Source organism: Homo sapiens, chromosome 1 (assembly GCF_000001405.40).
Source record: "Homo sapiens chromosome 1, GRCh38.p14 Primary Assembly".
NCBI lineage: Eukaryota > Metazoa > Chordata > Mammalia > Primates > Hominidae > Homo > Homo sapiens.
The window spans coordinates 244,721,309-244,739,728 of NC_000001.11; the positions used below are offsets into that span (position 1 = coordinate 244,721,309).

The 18,420-nt window shown below is 48.9% G+C and overlaps 1 protein-coding gene across 1 annotated transcript, besides 6 other annotated features; it reads right to left on the reverse strand.

Moving 5' to 3' along the window:
- Window positions 8,154–8,890: an enhancer, noted in NCBI's record as "H3K27ac-H3K4me1 hESC enhancer chr1:244892764-244893500 (GRCh37/hg19 assembly coordinates)". NCBI's record gives its function as "activates a minimal SCP1, AML or CMV promoter by ChIP-STARR-seq in naive H9 embryonic stem cells {active_cell/tissue: H9 hESC(naive)}" and the evidence as "EXISTENCE:reporter gene assay evidence [ECO:0000049][PMID:30033119]".
- C1orf202 (chromosome 1 open reading frame 202) lies at window positions 8,393–9,707 on the reverse strand. The gene has a single exon (NM_001395959.1). It carries the CDS (start codon window positions 9,613–9,615, stop codon window positions 9,067–9,069), a length of 549 nt encoding a protein of 182 aa, NP_001382888.1. The 5' UTR covers window positions 9,616–9,707; the 3' UTR covers window positions 8,393–9,066.
- Window positions 8,394–8,443: an enhancer, noted in NCBI's record as "active region_2842". NCBI's record gives its function as "activates an Ori minimal core promoter by ATAC-STARR-seq in GM12878 lymphoblastoid cells {active_cell/tissue: GM12878}" and the evidence as "EXISTENCE:reporter gene assay evidence [ECO:0000049][PMID:35858748]".
- Window positions 8,891–9,628: an enhancer, noted in NCBI's record as "H3K27ac-H3K4me1 hESC enhancer chr1:244893501-244894238 (GRCh37/hg19 assembly coordinates)". NCBI's record gives its function as "activates a minimal SCP1, AML or CMV promoter by ChIP-STARR-seq in naive H9 embryonic stem cells {active_cell/tissue: H9 hESC(naive)}" and the evidence as "EXISTENCE:reporter gene assay evidence [ECO:0000049][PMID:30033119]".
- Window positions 13,771–14,970: an enhancer, noted in NCBI's record as "MED14-independent group 3 enhancer chr1:244898381-244899580 (GRCh37/hg19 assembly coordinates)". NCBI's record gives its function as "activates an origin of replication core promoter dependent on BRD2, BRD4, P300/CBP and CDK7 cofactors, and independent of MED14, by STARR-seq in HCT116 cells {active_cell/tissue: HCT116}" and the evidence as "EXISTENCE:reporter gene assay evidence [ECO:0000049][PMID:35650434]".
- Window positions 14,033–14,897: an enhancer, noted in NCBI's record as "OCT4-NANOG-H3K27ac-H3K4me1 hESC enhancer chr1:244898643-244899507 (GRCh37/hg19 assembly coordinates)". NCBI's record gives its function as "activates a minimal SCP1, AML or CMV promoter by ChIP-STARR-seq in naive and primed H9 embryonic stem cells {active_cell/tissue: H9 hESC(naive and primed)}" and the evidence as "EXISTENCE:reporter gene assay evidence [ECO:0000049][PMID:30033119]".
- Window positions 14,213–14,522: an enhancer, noted in NCBI's record as "active region_2843". NCBI's record gives its function as "activates an Ori minimal core promoter by ATAC-STARR-seq in GM12878 lymphoblastoid cells {active_cell/tissue: GM12878}" and the evidence as "EXISTENCE:reporter gene assay evidence [ECO:0000049][PMID:35858748]".

Below are 18,420 nucleotides of genomic sequence, written 5' to 3' on the forward strand. Positions count from 1 at the left end.
AGGCCCGGCTAATTTTTTGTATTTTTAGTAGAGACGTGGTTTCACCATGTTGGCCAGGTCTCAAACTCTTGACCTCAAGTGACCCGCCCACCTCAGCCTCCCAAAGTGCTGGGATTACAGGCATGAGCCACCACGCCTGGCCCAATCTCTGCCTCTTAGAGTTCTTAGACATTTACATTGACTGCGATTATCAATACAATTGAGTCTAAATCTACCAACTATTTTTTAACAATTTTTCCTCTATGTTTTTTGTTCCTCTTTTCTCGCCTTCTTTTAGATTTAGTATGTTCTAGTATTCTATTATATCTACTTTATTGGTTATGTATCTTTGTTGGGTTTTTTTAGTGGTTGCTTACAGTTTACAGTATGCATGTTTAGTTTACCACTATCTACATTCAAATATTTTACTATTAATATTTCATGTGTATTTTTAGAGCCTTAAAATGGTATACTTCAGTTTCCTCTCTCCCATTCATAGTGTAATTGTTGTCATATATTTTGCTTCTACTTGTTATAAACCACACAATAATTGGTAATTGTTTTGGGGATGGTTTGCTTGGTAGTATGCTTAGAAGCTGCCACTGTGTCAGAGTTGCCTTTCCCTTCCCCACTTTGCTGCTTCAGAAAAGGGCATTTTGGGAGCAAGGAACAGCCTTAAGTTTATAATCATCTTAGATCACTGGTGTGCAGGATGAATGGTCTGTAGTTCACACAATATGAAAGTCAATACATGTCTAAGAATGAGAAAAGAAATTAAAACAAATTTCTGGAGTCTCAGACATTCAGTTTCTTTTGTTTTGTTCTGAGACAGGGTCTCACTCCCTCACCCACGCTGGAGTGCAGTGGCACAATCTCAGCTCATAGCAGCCTCGACTTCCCAGGCTCAGAGGTGATTCTCCCACCTCAGCCTCCCAAGTAGCTGGGACTACAGGTGTGTGCCACCACACCCAGCTAACTTTTGCATTTTTTTGTAGAAGCGAAGTTTTACTATGTTGCCCAGGCTGGTCTTGAACTCCCGGGCTCAAGCAATCCACCCACCTCAGCCTCCCAAAGTGCTGGGACTACAAGCACGAGCCAACATGCCCCGCCCTTTGTTTTGTTTTTAGGACCTCTTTAAGCAGTTTACCAGAAATGTGCACATGGAAAGCCTTCCTGATGGCCACCAGGCTTCTCTTCCCCACCTGGAACTCTAGGGCCCTGGCCAGTGAGGGCCGTGGAGCTCGCACTTCATTAGCTTCATGGAGAACCCCATTTACTGGTGTTATAGAAGACAGGAAATTTCTGATATAGTCCCAGTCCTGACAGGTGAACAAGTACACTTCCCCTCTGTGAATCTGAGTTTCCTGCTATGTTGCTGGTCCCCACAGTCGCTTTCTACTGGTTCTGCCTAGAGGTGCCCAGGCAGCTTGCAGACTTTTGGCACAGCCTTGGGAAAAGGCCTGCTTTTCCCAGGAGGTGGGCCTGGGGGACGGAAGAGAATTAGCCAGTGGTCCACTGAGGCTATTCCCCTACAATTCCTACCCATTCCAAACTGTTCCCCAAACTGTATCCCTAAGAATCATCTGGGAAGCTTCTTAAAACACAGGTTCCAATAGGCATTATCTCCCCAATAGTCTGAGTCAATAGGCCTGGAGGGAGCCCAGGAATATGCTTTTCTTGGAAATGGGGGCTTGCTGCATCTCCCAGGCTGCTGGAGTGCAATGGCATGATCATAGCTCACTATAACGTCAACCTGCTTGACTCAAGCAATCTTCCCAACTCAGCCTCCTGAGTAGCTGAGACTACAAGTGTGCACTACCGTGCCCAGCTAATTATTATTATTTTTTGAGACAGGGTCTCACTGTTGCTTAGGCTGATCTCAAACTCTTGGCCTCAAGGTAATCCTCCTGTCTTGGCCTCCCAAAGTGCTGGGATTACAGTCATGAGCCACCAGGCCAGGCCAAGCAACTCCCTGGGTGCTTCTGACTCAGATACCTGCCACCCATGCTTAAAGGAACATAAGGGAGGCTGGAGAGGGAGGGGAGTTGTGTTAGCAGACATGGGAAGCTTCTTCCCAGACCCATCTACATCTCCCTGTTTGGTCGTTTCATCTCAAATTCTCTGGTAAAGCGTATGAGCCTCCAAGGAGGGAAAACAGGATTTGCTGAGAACCTTTCCCACCTTTACGTCATCTCATATAAACCTCATTCAGAAGTGAAAATAACTGGCCTTGGGTAAAGCAAAGAGCCTGGAGATGAACTCAAGTCTTACTTTGAAGCCTGTGATCTTTTTCACATCTTGGGTACCTTGTAAGAAATGGAAAAGTGAGCACCTTCTATGAGCCAGGCCCTCTCATGTGCATTTTTTTCATGTAGTCCTCATACTAGTCTATATAGATATTATCCATATTTTAGAGCTGCAGAATTGAGACTCAGCGTGGCTGAATCACTCCTCCAAAGTCAAACCGCTCACAAGCTGCAAGAACTGGAATTCTCTCAAACCCCAATCTTACTCCGCTGTTCCTCTGACTGGGAGGTTGACCTTCTCTCCAGGCCAGGGGAAGAGGTCGGTGTTGCTAGGCCATTAATGCTAATCCCATTCCCCCTGCTGTGTCTGGTTTAGAGGTGTGTTCTGGCCACTGAGACATGAGTGGAGTCCACTGGAGGGACTCTCAGAGAGGTTTCCAGAGAAGATTGGGGCTGGGCGCAGTGGCTCATGCCTGTAATCCCAGCACTCTGGGAGGCCGAGGCAGGTGGATTGCTTGAGGCCAGGAGTTCAAGACCAGCCTGGCCAACATAGTGAAACCTCGTCTCTACCAAAAATACAGAAAAAAAAAAGTGCTAAAAACAAAAAGTTCTGGCAAGGAAGTGAAGATAACGGAACCCTTGTTCACTGTTGGTGGGAATGTAAAATGGTCCAGCTGCTGTGGAAAACAGAAGGACGATTTCTCAAAAAATTAAACCTAGCATCACCATAGGACACAGCAGTTCCTCAAAGCAGGGCCTCAAAGAGATATGTGTCTGCTCATGTTCATAGCAGCATTATCCACAATAGCCAAAAGGTAGAAGCAACCACCCAAATGTCCACTGAAGAAGGAATGGACCAGCCGGGCATGGTGGCTCATGCCTGTAATCCCAGCACTTTGGGAGGCCAAGGCAGGTGGATCACCTAAGGCCAGGAGTTTGAGACCAGCTTTCCCAACATGGTGAAACCCTGTCTCTACTAAAAATATAAAAATTAGCCAGGCGTGGTGGTGTGCGCCTGTAATCCCAGCTACTCGGGAGGCTGAGGCAGGAGAATCGCTTGAGCCCAGGAGGCAGAGGTTGCAGTGAGCTGAGATCACAACACTGCACTCCAGCCTGAGTGACAAAAAAAGAAAGTGACTCAAAAAAGAAAAAAAAAAAAACAGAAAAGAAAAAAGAAGAATTCAAGTCACATAGTAATTCTTAGGAACCTAGTGCTGTGTAAACTAAGGTCTACCTGTACCTGTATAAATAAAAATGTTGGGCTGCCTTAAATCTTACCTCTCTCCCCAGGGGCAGAAGCCTGCCTCACCACCAGGACTTAGCCCTATGTATGTATGTACCTTGGAGGACCGTGGCAGAGCAAGCACTCTGACCAGTTATTGGCAGAGATGAGGCTTCTCCTCTTGAGCTCATCAGTGATAACCCAGCGTACCACCAACCTCCCCTTTTCCTTCAGACGCTACAGTTCAAAGTGTCTCCTGAATTCTTTTCTCCAAGGAACCCCAGCATCATAGATTGGACCCATCATTCCCACATGAGTGACCCCCTCTGCCAGCCACTACCACCCAGATACTTAGGATACTGGTCTGCTAGAGGCTGACATCCCTCTTCACGAAGACACTGGGGGGTGAGGTGAGATGGGGCTCCCTGTCCCCCACAAGCCCCTTCCTTCAGGTCCCCAAGACCACCACGCAAGACTGCTCAGGCCCACCAGGCCCTGGGTCCCATAGTCAGTGGGGAGCCCCAGTCCTGCTAGTCCGAGGCCCTTCATTCATCCCCAGCCACAAGCTGGCTAGATCCATTTAATTCAGCACAGATAGTACTTTTTTTCCTTCAAGATCAGAAGTCTAAATAAACCATATCGAGAAAAGAAAGAAACTCTCATGTACCAAGTTGTCTCACTTTGTGGAGTTAATGGGTTCTCAAAATTGTGTGACATAGCCTTTGGTGTCTTTCCTGCTGTACGTGGAATAGAAAAAGAATTGCCTTCAAGCTCTGAAGTTGATGACATTCTCCCTTTGGGGAAAAAAGAGTTTTCAAAGGAAGGAAGGTTTCCCAATTTCCCTGAGGTACTTTCATTGGCTCATTCACTCAATAAGCACACCAACCATGTACCAGAAACTTATAAACATGATTTCCTATTTGCAAAGGCCTTCTGCCATCACAGCTTTTCTGATCCACAAATTGCACTGGACTTGAAATAAGAAATATTTCCAAATCGCTGTTTGGTCATTAGAAGTTAGTACAACCTCTCTGAGCCTTGTATTCTTATTTTAAAATATAGCAAGAGCCGGTGCTCCTACCTGTAAGCCCAGCACTTTGGGAGGCTGAGAAGGGCAGATCACCTGAGGTCAGGAGTTCAAGATCAGCCTGGCCAACATGGTGAAACCCCGTCTCTACTAATACAAAAATCAGCCGGGCATAATGGTGCACACCTGTAGTCCCAGTTACCCGGGAGGCTGAGGCAGGAGAATCACTTGAACCCTGGAGGCGGAGGTTGCAGTGAGCCAAGATGGCGCCATTGCACTCCAGCCTGGACAACAGAGTGAGACTCTGTCTCAAAAATATATATATACATAGTAAGACTCCTTGTCCTGTCAAACTCACAAAACTATATGCAGATCACCTAAGAACAGCCAGTGAACACGGGAGTCATGCTGTCGTTGTTATAGTTAAAGAAAAAGATTGGTTGATTATTTTAAAATGAGATGGGGTCTTGCCTTGTTGCCCAGGCTGGTCTTAAACTCCTGGCCTCAAGCAATCCTCCCACCTTGGCCTCCCAAAATGCTGAGATTGCAGGTGTGAGCCACCATGCCTGGCCAAAATTTATTGTTAATTAGAAAGAGGGGAAGCAAGATGGAAGGGCCAAGCCACCTGTTAGGGCAGAAGCAGTTCTAGAAACCCCATCTCATAGAGTTCAGGGTGCAGAACTGCTGAAGACATCCTCCTTCTTTCTGGCTGGGCACCTCTCAGGGCTTAAACACAATGATAGCCATGAGTTTTACTAACTCAAATTGAACATGTCAATCACGGGGCCTGTCTTACCCAACAGTCTATTCTAATGAAAACTCTGCAGCACCCAGCACACCCCTACTGCCTTTTCAGGAAAGCAGTACTAGGCTTCTCTTAACTAGGGGTTTGGACCAAGGGTAGGACCCCTGATCCAAAGGCAGCTAGACCCCAGGAAGACAGCCATGAAAGTAGCCTGGCTTCACCAATAGCAATGGTGGTAATTACCAAAGTCAATCAGACCACATCCCTCAGACAGATCTGTCTGGGAGGATACAGAGTGATTATCAATGGGAAGAGAGAAAGAGGACAGGCCTGCATGGGGAGCAGGGAGGGAGGCTCAGCCCACAGGAGGACTCAGCTCCAACACGCCTCAGGGCTGTGATCTAGCCCCATTTTCAGCACAGTGTTTCCTTATAATAAACACATTTCCCCTAGATTCCTTTTTTTTTTTTTTTTTTTTTTTGAGATGGAGTCTCACGCTGTCACCCAGGCTGGAGTGCAATGGTGTGGTCTCGGCTCACTGCAACCTCCGCCTCCTGGGTTCAAGCGATTCTCCTGTCTCAGCCTCCCGAGTAGTTGGGACCACAGGCCACCACGCCTGGCTAATTTCTGTATTTTTACTAGAGATGGGGTTTCACTATGTTGGCCAGGCCGGTCTCAAACTCCTGACCTCGTGATCCACCTGCCTCGGCCTCCCAAAGTGCTGGGATTACAGGTGTGAGCCACCACGCTTGGCCCCCCTTTAAGGTAACTTTACCTTAAAGGAATCTGAGGCTAGATAGAAAAGTCTCTAAAAGAGGAAACTAAAAGAGCTTCACTAACACAAAAACTCAACCTGACTTACCTCCTGTGGCCAAGAGACATGTTTCTGGAATATCTACACCAGAAAACACTCAACCACAGATGGCTGAATAATGAGGCACTACATTTTTGTTGGTTTTTTAAACTGGTTTTCAGCTAGAAAGAAGATGGATATGGGAGGAAGAAAAAGTCCCATGCTGGTCCTAATGCAGCTCTGCAAGATCAGAGATAAAAGTTGTCACCATGAAATACTGCAAATTCCTAAGCTTGGGGGTGGAGGTGGGGCAGGGAGGGGGCAGTGGCAGAAGGAACCACCTGCAGGTACTCAACCCCAACAATGTAATGCAGCCTGGGTGCTCTCTCTGCATCCAAGGACCATGCTTCTGCTGAATTGGGGCCTTAGTGGGAGACATCTGTTGGTGTATCAACCCAGCAAATCTGGTAGAAGCTACCACTCTGCTCTTGCCCTGGGAGACAGCCATTCTAATCAACAGCCAAGAGGAGCCAATTGAAGGCCGACAGCACAGTGCCAAAAAGGTAAGGCTTTGTGTGGATACCTAAGAGTGAAACTAGGGAGACAGAGGACACACGTGAAACCACCCTAATAAATTCTCTAAATAAGTTGAGCATTTACATTATGCTACGTGCTTATACACCAAGCCTGGGTGTGTGTGTGTGTGTGAGTAGAGAGGGGTCCCCACAGACGGAGACATAATCTAGGCCAATTTCCTCAGCCTAGTGAAGAGGAAGTACTGCAGAGGGCCACGAGACAGTCGAAACAAAAAGGCATGGCTACATTCAAATAAATTAAGGGTCAGAGAATTAACTGTAGTTTGTCTCTTTCCTTTCGGAAACAAACCCAGAAAACATTAAATAGGTGGAATGTCTTACACATTATTCAACAGCACCTCTAGTCCAGGATTTGAGAATTCAGCAATTGGGCATTCTTCCAGCGGTCTTTTCTTTACCGGCCTCTTAGCTTCAACCTCTCGAAGCAGAGAGGGTTCAACTGGGCTGCTACCTACAGAACAGCTTTTAATTCAGGCATCACGGGACCCCCCGCCCAGTCAGCTATAGGCAGGATAACAGGATGGCCTTCCTCCTAAGGATGGGGCTATGAGGTTTAGTGGCTTTTCTGGTAAAAACGCCTTCCTCTATCACAGACCTACAAAGCAATTTCATCTATCTGGGCAACGACAAGAATAAAGAAGCTAGGAGAAATACAAAATGCACCTAACCAACCCCAAGTCACAGAATTACAGAGAATTCTTCCCTATGGGGCGCCGGCTCCTGGCCTCGGCTTTCTAGCGTATACCTTGGTTTTTCTGTTTTTCATCTTCCTAGGTTCACTGTTCAAGTATCAGGCATCATGATCCTCCACCTCCCACCCTTCCCCCAGTGATTTTTTTTTTTTTAAGACAGGGTCTGGCTCTGTTGCCCAGGCTGGAGTGCAGTGGTACAATTACAGCTCACCGCAGCTGAACACTGGGGCCTAAGCGATCCTCCCACCTCAGCTTCCCAAGTAGCTGGGACTACAGGCGCGCACCACCACACCCAGCTCAATTTTTAAATTTCTCTGTAGAGAAGAAGCCTCCCCATGTTGCCAGGCTGGTCTTGAACGCCTGGCCTCCAACAATATTCCCACCTTTACCTCCCTAAACGCTGGCCCCTTCCCCAGCGTTGACGCTCTAGGTCAACGGGGAGGGGAAATCCCTGCCTGGAAGGCGCCAGGGACTCCAAAGCCGCTTCAACAGCTGCACAATCAAGTGGAGAGCTTCCAGGCTCGCAGTTTGGCGTTTTTAGCTTGCTAGTGAAAAGGGTAAACTGAGCAGGGAGCGGTGGCTCATGCCTGTAATCCCAGCACTTTGGGAGGCCGAGGCAGGTGGATCACCTGAGGTCGCGAGTTCGAGACCAGCCTGACCAACCTGGAGAAACCCCGTCTCTACTAAAACTACAAAATTAGCCGGGCATAGTGGCACATGCACAAGTAATTCCAGCTACTTGGGAGGCTGAGGCAGGAGAATCGCTTGAACCCGGGAGGCGGAGGTTGCGGTGAGCCGAGATCGCGCCATTGCACTCCAGCCTGGGCGACAGAGCAAGACTCTGTCTCAAGAAAGACGGAAAGGAAAGAAAAAGAAGAAAAGGGTGAGCTAGTGAAAAGCTTGCCAGCTTTGGCGCGTGAGGCAGTGAGGGGAGAGGGAGGGGTGGATGCTAGTCTGGCTGGGAACAGCCTGCGGAGAGACCATTATCACAGTTTAGTAACTACCCGTAAGGTGTGTCGCGCTTTCAGAGTCCCCACAGCACTTTCACTTCTACTATTTTACTTTCATCCTCACGAGTCTGTAGAGCCGGAGTATCATTAGCAGGTTTTTATTGATGAGGAAAAGGAAGACATTCAAGACCCATCTGGGAGCCTCCAGGAGTCCTTTCCCTTTGTTCTTCTAAGTCTAGCCCTGGTTTCCAAACTCCCCTGTCCCACCCCCACCCCAAGCCACCCTTCCTAAATGCCTGTCAACAAAAGCATAAAAGTAGAGTTCGCTCACTTCAAAGTGGGATGTGAAGCTCAGCATCCTGCTTTAAACGATTTTTTTATTTTTTTGACGGGGCGTGGTAGCTCACGCCTGCAATCCCAACGCTTGGGAGGCTTAGGATCGCTTGACCCCAGGAGTTTGAGTCCAGCCCGGGCAACATAGTTGGTTTTTTTTTTTTTTCTCCTGTCTCAAAAAAAAGGCATTGCAGAGATTGAAAACCGTTTCCCACCTTCTCCCCTGCAGTGTTTAGGAAGAGACAATCCGCCCCCGATTCAGCGCTTCCCAGCCCGCAGCAACTGCGCAGCGGGGGGAACCCAGGGCTCCGCGGCACCCGCAGGCTTTAGTTACTGCTCCGAGGCCCTCGGACCAAAGAGAGGCTGCGAGGAGGACGCGGCTCGTTTAGCTCGCTGCGAACCTCAAGATAACCCTTGGTTTCCATGCACATCCCCCCAACATTGCATGTGCTTTCATTCCTACGGTGCTGGGGTTACTTTCATTTATTGCTTTTGTTGACCAAAAAGAAAAAAACAATCCTGAGCGTGCACAGGGGGCGCAACGGGGGACCGGCTCCTCGTGGCTGACCGGCGGCGGGGCTGGCGCGCGGGGGCGGCCTGCGCGGGCCGCCCGGGGACGCTGCTCTGGGGTCCGGCCGCGGCCTCGTGGCCGCCCTGCGCGCGGTCCAGCACCAGCAGCGGGATCTCCTCCAGCCGGTCCGGCCGCTCCTTGCGCCGCAGGTAGCGCCGCCTCCACGTCGCCAGCCTCTGAAGCAGCCTCTGCAGGCTCGAGGGGCCCCACAGGCCGCGCTCCGGGGCCTCCTTGCCTGCGCGCGCGTGAGCTTGCCTGAGCTTCTTCCTGCGCGGGCCGCGGAACAGCCGCCGCCAGCACCAGCACCCAGAGCAGGAGCCGCCGTCGCCGGCCACCGCGCGCCGCCCGACCGCCTCCGGATCCCCGCGCGGAGGGGGGCCCCGCTCCAGGCGCGCCGCCTTCTCCAGCAGCTCGTGCTGCGCGCCGCCGCGCCGGGGGCCACCAAACCGGGGGGCCGCCATGGCCCGCGCAGGCCTCTTCTCGGAGCGCGGGGCCCACATCTCGGGAACCGTCGGGCTGGACAACAACGCTGCCGCCTCCAGGACTCCAAAGGGCCCCTCGCGTCCTCTCCCGGGAATGTACCCACAGGCCCCCTCTACGCGCTTGGGTTGCCCAGGAAACCCCAACGGTGACCCCACAATGCCCAGCAGAGCCCTCGCCCTCTGCCAATGACGGGGTCACCAGAATCCAGCGACCCAAGGAATCCCTCAAATAAGTCGGCCAAATTTCGCTGCGAACTGATTTACACATATGGCCTCACCTGGACAAGAAGGAATCTTGGAAGTTCCTGGGGCCCAACTCCTGGTTCACGAAGACACACAGCGTCCACGAGCAGGGGGCTGCGCAGCCTCCCCTGGGTCGAGGCGTGGGTTTCAGCCTCAGGCGTGTGTTGCGCTGGAGATTTGTATTTTGTGAACTGGTTTCAGGTGGTCTCAGCACTTTTCTGTTAACAGGGAACCAGAGTTTCAGGAAAGATCTCAAAACCTAATTTTCTTCATCTCGCCTCACTCAAAGGCCTCTTTCTTGTAAGACTATGATTGTTTTTTTTAAATAATTTTTTTTCTGATTGCAAACATAAGATTTTTGAAGAAATGTTGTAAAACTAATACAAAAAAGAAATACTCCTTTTTTCTGCTTTTTTATACATATTTTCGTGCTTATTAATTTTCTCCAAAGCAAAGTTAAATAATAATAGCTGCTATGGGGGCTGGTCGTGGTGGCTCATGCCTATAATCTCCGCAATTTGGGAGGCCAAGGTGGGCGGATCACTTGAGGCCAAGGGTTCGAGACCACCCTGGGCAACATGGAGAAACCCTGTCTCTACAAAAAATACAAAAAAAATGTCACGGCATAGAAAAAAAAATGCTACTCTGGGCACAGCCCTGGAGGGAGGGGCAGGGCAGTATCCAAAGCTCTTCTGGCAGCTGACTCCGTGGGGCCCCCTCCCCATGGAGAGTGAGTGGAATGAAGGGTTCATGCTATGCACTAAAATACAATGCAAATATTGATGCAAATAATTTTTTTAAATGAAATTGTTGCCCTCCTACCAAATGGGAAATTAATTTTATCACTGGATAGACACTTATGAAGAAACTGGACTTCAAGTTTGTCCATCCCAGTATTCTGGCAGAAAAGCATGAAATTGAGCCATTCCTTGCAAAGACCAGGAAATCCAGCATTTCCTACAAGACTGGGGATTGCTTGGAAAAGAAGAGCTGACAGAGTATCTCCAGATGCTGACAAGCTTGTAGGACGTATGCAGGACTGTTCATGAGGCCAACCAGAGAGGCCCTGTCCCTGTCCTTCGGGAGAGGCCCTGCAGCAGACACTGGGCCGGCCCTGGGAGGAACACATCTGCTTAGCTGTGTCCCTTCTGTATTCCCTTTCATGGTCCTTAAGTGACTACATCATCTAGTCCAGACCAACACGCTGTGCCCTGAGCAAGGTAGAAGATTTGGGGACAAGCCTGTGCCCATGGTTCCTTCTTCACAAGAATGAAAATGACTTCACGCTCCTAAGTTTGCTCCTACCTATTTTCTCCTTAACAACTCATGCACAGAGCAGTGGTGCTGAGGGGCTCTGCTGCTGGCCCTGTTCCGGATGGGCAGGGCCCCTGAGGAGGGCAAATCGAGAGGCAGAGGCCCAGAGGGAGGGTCTGGATGACCTAACCCAGCCTTAAAGGTGCCTGTTTTCATCAGCTCTTCCGTGTACCCAGCACCCTCCCAAGACCATCTGGGCCTGGCCCTTCCACCTTGCTCTGAGGGTCTGCTCCGGGATCCCCCACAAGTGAACTCTACTGAGGATGCCCAAGACCTGAAATGGGTTCTGGAAATCTTGGGTCCTCCATGGTCATCCCCACATTTGTCTCCCGTCTTTCTCCTGACAGACTCCACTCCCAGTAGTAGGGATCAACCTCTGCTTGTTAGAATAGGCAGCTAGGCAGACATGAGCTGAGCAGGAGACCGCCCCTGCCGGGAACGTGAGACAACCACCAGGTGATGGTCAGGTGGTTGTTATACTTTCTTTCCAAAATAATAATGGGTCACAGCAGGCACCAGGAAAAGGCGGTCTCCCAATAGGTAGAAAACACCTGATGCTGGTGATTAGCAGCCTGCCAGTAAGTTCTCAGGAGCTGGGCAAGTAGGCTCAAGTATGTGCACTAAGAGGCAAAGCGGCGGAGTTTAACTGGTATTTGACCTTCTAGGAACACTCAGCTGACTCAAATGAGTATGCACACAACTTCAGTAAACGCACTGCACATGCGGCCCCTGCTCTCAAGTGCGACATGCAGCCCACCACACGCGCAGACAGCCCACCCCACGGGAGGAACTGGGAGAAGGAACACAGCCCCCCAGAAGCATGCCAACGTATAAAGCCCCAAGTCAAAGGCTGAACAGTGCACTTGGATCGCTCAAGTCGCCCATTTGGCCCTCTTCAACTGTGCTTTACTTCCTTTAGTTCCTGCTCCAATACTTTTTTCTCCCCCTGCTCTATCACCCAGGCTGGAGCGCACCAATCTCAGCTCACTGCAACCTCCACCTCTGGGTTCAGGTGATTCTCCTGCCTCAGCCTCCTGAGTAGCTGAGATTACAGGCACACGCCACCACGCCAGGCTAATTTTTGTTTTTTTAGTAGAGATGGGGTTTCACCATGTTGGCCAGGATAGTCTCAAACTCCTGATCTCTAGTGATCCACCCACCTCGGCCTCCCAAAGTGCTGCGACTACAGGCATGAGCCACCGCATCCAGCCTTACCATCTTCAACTGAACCAAAGATAGAAGGGTAGAGCTGAGGCCAGGAAAGAGAAAGTGCCTGGGATAAAAAGGGTAAAAGAGGGCAAGATTTGTTATACAGATTAAATCAGTGCCTTCTCCAATAATCAGAGTCTCCAGTGATGCAGAGTCATCTTCCTCTTTCTAGTACCAGGAGGAAGACACTCTTACAAATGGAGATTATTTATTTATTTGTTTATAGACATGGTCTCGCACTGTTGCCCAGGCTGGAGTGCAGTGTCGCGATCTCGGCTCACTGCAACCTCTGCCTCCTAGGTTCAAGCCATTCTCCTGCCTCAGCCTCCCGAGTAACTGGAATTACAGGCACACACCACCATGCCCAGCTAATTTTTGTGTTTTTAGTAGAAATGGGATTTCACCATATTGGCTAGGCTGGTCTGGAACTCCTGACCTCAGGTGATCCACCCGCCTCAGCCTCCCAAAGTGCTGAGATGACAGGCGTAAGGCACCAGGCCCACCTGTATTTTTTTTTTTACAAATGTAAATTTCTCTTACAAAAGGGTAACCACTCTTGTTTTCAGAGCTTCTCTTGTCTCTGCTGTTTCTCAAAACAACCAGCTCAAAATAATCCTTATACCTAAGAAAAGAAAAATAGCTCAGAGATGTCTGAGCTATGTGAGGTGTGCAGGCCCAGATCCACAAGGCTACAGGACTTCAGTTGTGGACCCTTTACATCATCCCAGGCTCCTACACATGCCTGGGGGCAATTATTTAACTCTGTTCCTGACTAGCCTCACCCTTTATCTTCATGCTCTTGGAATTTGTGATACAAAGAACAATGTATGGCCAACCAATAGCTTAATGTTATTGTATTTATTTATTTATTTATTTATTCTTGAGACGGAGGAGTTTTGTTCTTGTTGCCCAGGCTGGAGTGGTGCGATCTCGGCTCAATGCAATCTCTACCTCCTGGGTTCATGCAATTCTGCTGCCTCAGCCTCCTGAGTAGCTGGGACTACAGGTGCCCACCACTATGCCAGGCTAATTTTTTTTTTTTTTTTGTATTTTTAGTAGAGACAGGGTTTCACCATGTTGGCCAGGCTGGTCTTGAACTCCTGACCTCAGGTGATCCGCCTGCCTTGGCCTCCCAAAGTGCTAGGATTACAGGCATGAGCCACGGCACCCAGCCAACTGTAGTGCAAATTCTTGGTAACAATTTAGGAACTGCCTCTTCTTTCCCTTTATTTTTTATTCTTTCTGTTGAGACAGTCTTGCTCTGTCGCCTAGGCTGGAGTACAGTGGCGTGACCTTGGCTCACTGCAACCTCTGCCTCCTGGGCTCAAGCCATTCTCCTGCCTCAGCCTCCCAAGTAGGTGGGAATACAGGCGCCCGCCACCACACTTGGCTAATTTTTGTATTTTTAGTAGAGGCAGTTTTCACCATGGAGCCCAAACTGGTGGCCATGGAGGCCTGACCTCAAATGATCCACCCACCTCGGCCTCCCAAAGTGTTAAGATTACAGGTGTGAGCCACTGCGTCTGGCCTTCTTTCCATTTAAAAACCCACTTGCAACTGCTGCTAATTGGAGCGTATCTTCAGGGCAACTTGAATCTATGCTCACAGATTGCAGTTCTCAAGCTTGGGCCCAAATCAGCTCTCTACTTATATTAGTTTTGCCTCTGCTTTTTCCTTTTAAGTTGACATATCCAGTGTAGTTGGCAGGATTCAGAGTGACTGTCCCCCTACCTCATCCCCACTGAGAAAGGAGAAAGGAAAAAATCCGGTCAGGCAGGCAGTTAGGGTGGGTCCTCAGTTGAATCCTTTCAAAGAACAGCCTGAAGGCACAGATAAGGGAACTTGCACAGCGGGGCTTGTCTAAGACATGCCCACAGCTGCACAGACAAGAAAGCCTACACGGGTGACTTGCCCAGACATGCCCGCAATGGAAATTTCCATCCCCTGACACATGTGCAGTAAGGGGAACAAAGCAATATGGATGAACTCAAGCTAAGGGCCCACATTCACATTATGAGGATGGGGCGAAGCTACCAGAAATTGGCACCATATGCAAATGAGATGCCCAGCCCTCATCGGTTTCCTATAAAAGCCTTTGCATTCAACTGTAAAAACAGCAGCCCTCCTCTGGTTCCCATCTCTGCAGTGGAGAGCTTTCTTCCACTTATTAAACATTTGCTCCAACCTCACCCTTTCCTTTGTATCCACACTCCTTAATTTCTTGGTCCTGAGACAAAGAACTCCAAGTGATACCTCACAACAAGAGACTGCTACATTGTGGTGCATTGGCGAGACTAACACCACCACTGTTTCTGAAAATGGCCTTGATACTAGCATGAACTCTCTGTCTTCAGGAGTCCTATTGTAAATGCCCAGTGGGTTCACCTTGCCTGCTGCCTAGACAGAACCGATTTATCAAATCAGGGGAATTACAATAGGGAAAGAGTTATTCAAGCAAAGCCAGCTGTGCCGGAGACTGGAGTTTTATTATTACTCAAATCGGTCTCCCCGAGCGTTTGGGGATGAGAGTTTTTAAGGATAATTTGGTGGGTTGAGGGGAGCCAGTGAGTCAGGAGTGCTGATTGTTTGGGCCGGAGATGAAACCGTCAGGAGTCGAAGCTGTCCTCTTGTGCTGAGTCAGTTCCTGGGTCGGGGCTGGGGCCACAAGATCAGATGAGCCAGTCTATTGAGCTGGGTGGTACCAGCTGGGTGGTGTCTGCAAAATACCTCAAGCATTGTTCTTAGATTTTACACAACAGTGATGTTACCTCCAGGAGGAATCTGGGGAGGGTCAGAATCTTGTAGTCTTCAGCTGCATGACTCCTAGACCATAATTTCCAATCTTTTGATTAATTTATTGGTCCTACAAAGGCAGTCTAGTCCCCAGGGAAGAAGGGGGTTTCTTTCCAGAAAGGGCTATCATCTTCCTTTCAAATTATAAACTAAGTTCCACTTGGCTGGGCACGGTGGCTCACACCTGTAATCTCAGCACTTTGGGAGGCCAAGGCAGGCAGATTGCCTAAGGTCAGGAGTTTGAGACCAGCCTGACCAACATGGTGAAACCCTGTCTCTACTAAAAATATAAAAATTAGCTGGGCATGGTGGCTGACACCTGTAATCCCAGCTACTTAGGAGGCTGAGGCAGGAGAATCGCTTGAACCCAGGAGGCAGAAGTTGTAGTGAGCCAAGATCGTGCCATTGCATTCCAGCCTGGGTGACAAGAGCGACACAGTGTCTCAAAAAAAAAAAAAAAAAAAAAAAGTTCCACTCAAAGTTAGTTCAGCCTTCACCCGGGAATGAACAAGGACAGCTTGGAGGTTAGAAACAAGATGGAGTTGGAGTTGGTTAGGTGACATCTCTTTCACCATCTCAGTTACAATTTTGCAATGGTGGTTTCACTGTTGGGTGTTTCTGGTGAGTTCTCCTAAATTCAGACCTCTCACTCTTTGGTTGAAGGTCTAGACTATCTGAGCTGTTTTGCAAATGCTTTCTTGTCTTTGAGCGTGAGGGCCTCAGTCTCTGTCTTTGCACAGGAAATTTGTGTAAAGAGCTATGCAGAGAACTGTCTTTATTCTACCTCTGCCTCACAGCAGAGGTTCAAGTCAAAGGATTGGCAGTTAGGCACCAGTGGTTTTGTTTTACACAATATGCTTTTTTCTTTCTTTCTTTCTTTCTTTCTGAGACAGAGTCTCACTCTGTCTTCCAGGCTGGAGTGCAGTGGTGCGATCTTGGCTCACTGCAACCTCCACCTCCTGGGTTCAAACGATTATCATTCCTCAGCCTCCCAAGTAGTACTACCATGTCCAACTAATTTTTGTATTTTTAGTAGAGACAGTGTTTTGCCATGTTGGTTAGGCTGGTCTTAAGCTCCTGACCTCAAGTGATCTGCCTGCCTCAGCCTCCCAAAGTGCTGGGATTACAGGCATGAGCCACCACGTCCGGCCTACATAGCATGATTTTAAGATTACAGCTGTTTTCTATCATTTGAAAATTCTGACTTAGGGCTGGGCGCGGTGGCTCACGCCTGTAATCCCAGCACTTCGGGAGGCCGAGGCAGGTGGATCACAAGGTCAGAAGATCAAGACCATCCTGGCTAACACGGTGAAACCCCGTCTCTACTAAAAATACAAAAAATTAGCCAGGTGTGGTGGCGGGCGCCTGTAGTCCCAGCTACTCGGAGGCTGAGGCAGGAGAATGGCGTGAACCGGGGGGCAGAGCCTGCAATGAGCCAAGATTGCGCCATTGCACTCCAGCCTGGGAGACAGAGCGAGACTCCGTCTCAAAAAAAAAAAAAAAGAAAAAAGAAAATTCTGACTTAGCCTTTCATTTCTGACCAGTTATTCCTAACTGAAAGTATACCCACTTTTTGCTCTCCCAAACAGGTATGAGGGTCCAATCCCCCATAACTGGAGCACTCTGCTGCCACTTGGCAGGTGTAGTCACATTTTGACCCTAACCACATCCCTGACCTTGGTCACTTTTGAAAAGTTCATTGGCCAGGCGTGGTGGCACACACCCGTAATCCCAGCACTTTGGGAGGCCGAGGTGGGCAGATCATGAGGTCAGGGGATCGAGACCATCCTGCCTAACATGGTGAAACCCCGTCTCTACTAAAAATACAAAAAAAAATTAGCCAGGCATGGTGGCGGGCGCCTGTAGTCCCAGCTACTCGGGAGGCTGAGGCAGGAGAATGGCGTGAACCTGGGAGGCTGAGCTTGCAGTGAGCCGATATCACACCACTGCACTCCAGCCTGGGCAACAGAGAGAGACACCATCTCAAAAAAGAGAAAGAATACTCTAGCAATGTGGAAGAAGTTTCATGACTTCTGTTGTCTATTGTAGTATAACAAACCACCTCGAAACCTAATTGCTTAGAACAACAACCAATTCTAGGTTGGGTGCCGTGGCTCACGCCTGTAATCCCAGCACTTTGGGAGGCTAAGGCAGGCGGATCACAAGGTCAGGAGATCGAGACCATCCTGGCTAACATGGTGAAACCCCATCTCTACTAAAAATACAAAAAATTAGCCAGGCGTGGTGGCAGGCACCTGTAGTCTCAGCTACTGGGGAGGCAGAGGCAGCAGAATGGCGTGAACCCAGGAGGTGGAGCTTGCAGTGAGCTGAGATCGCACCACTGCACTCCAGCCTAGGCGACAGAGCGGGACTGTGTCTCGGAAAAGAAAAAAAAAAACAAAACAGAATAGTTCATCAATTATGGGAAATTAAGCTTCAAAATCTAAGTGCTCTTCTTAGAGACACCGGCTGGATTTATGTATAGCGCTGATGGAAATTCTCTTGTAAATGTTTAGGTAAGTGAAACCATCTAACCCAGGAGAGCCACAAGCAGCAGTAGCCAAAAGAGAGATTCTCTGAAATGTCTAAAATAATTCATCTGCACACACAATTGGGAAAAAAAAAATACTGGTTTTAGACCCAAACCAACCAAGTGGAAGACGTCCTTTATGTTTGTCCTTCCTGAAATCTGATAATAAGAGATTTGAAAATATTATTTTTTGGGTTATTTTTTTCTTTCTTTGAGACAGGGTCTTGCTCTGTTGCCCAGGCTGGAGTGCAGTGGGCCATTCTCAGCTCACTGCAGCCTGAACTCTTGAGCTCAAGCGATCCTCCCACCTCAGCCTCCTGAGTAGCTGGGACTACAGGTGTGCACCACCACACTCAGCTAATTTTTTGATTTTTTGTAGAGACTGGGTCTCACTATGTTGCCCAGGCTGGTCTTGAACTCCTGGCCTCAAATGATCCTCCCACCTCAGCCTCCCAAAGTCCTGGGATTGTAGGCATGAGCCACCACCCATGGCTTTTACAGCTTTAGGATTGGAACTCAGCATAATTAAAAGCTGACACTTGGGCTATCATTTTTTAGACAAAGACAAAAAGTCCCTCCTGCTTTTTTCCTCTTTTGGATCTTCTTTCTGGGAATTTTCTTAGTTGACTGAAACCCCTTTTTAAATGTGTTTGATTCCTCTGTTTGCTTCCTACCTTGTTGGCATAATTTCTGCT

Bases quoted from the DNA above. Each gene is read 5' to 3' on its own strand.
- C1orf202 (NM_001395959.1), bottom strand. From the start codon at position 9,615: ATGGCGGCCCCCCGGTTTGGTGGCCCCCGGCGCGGCGGCGCGCAGCAC.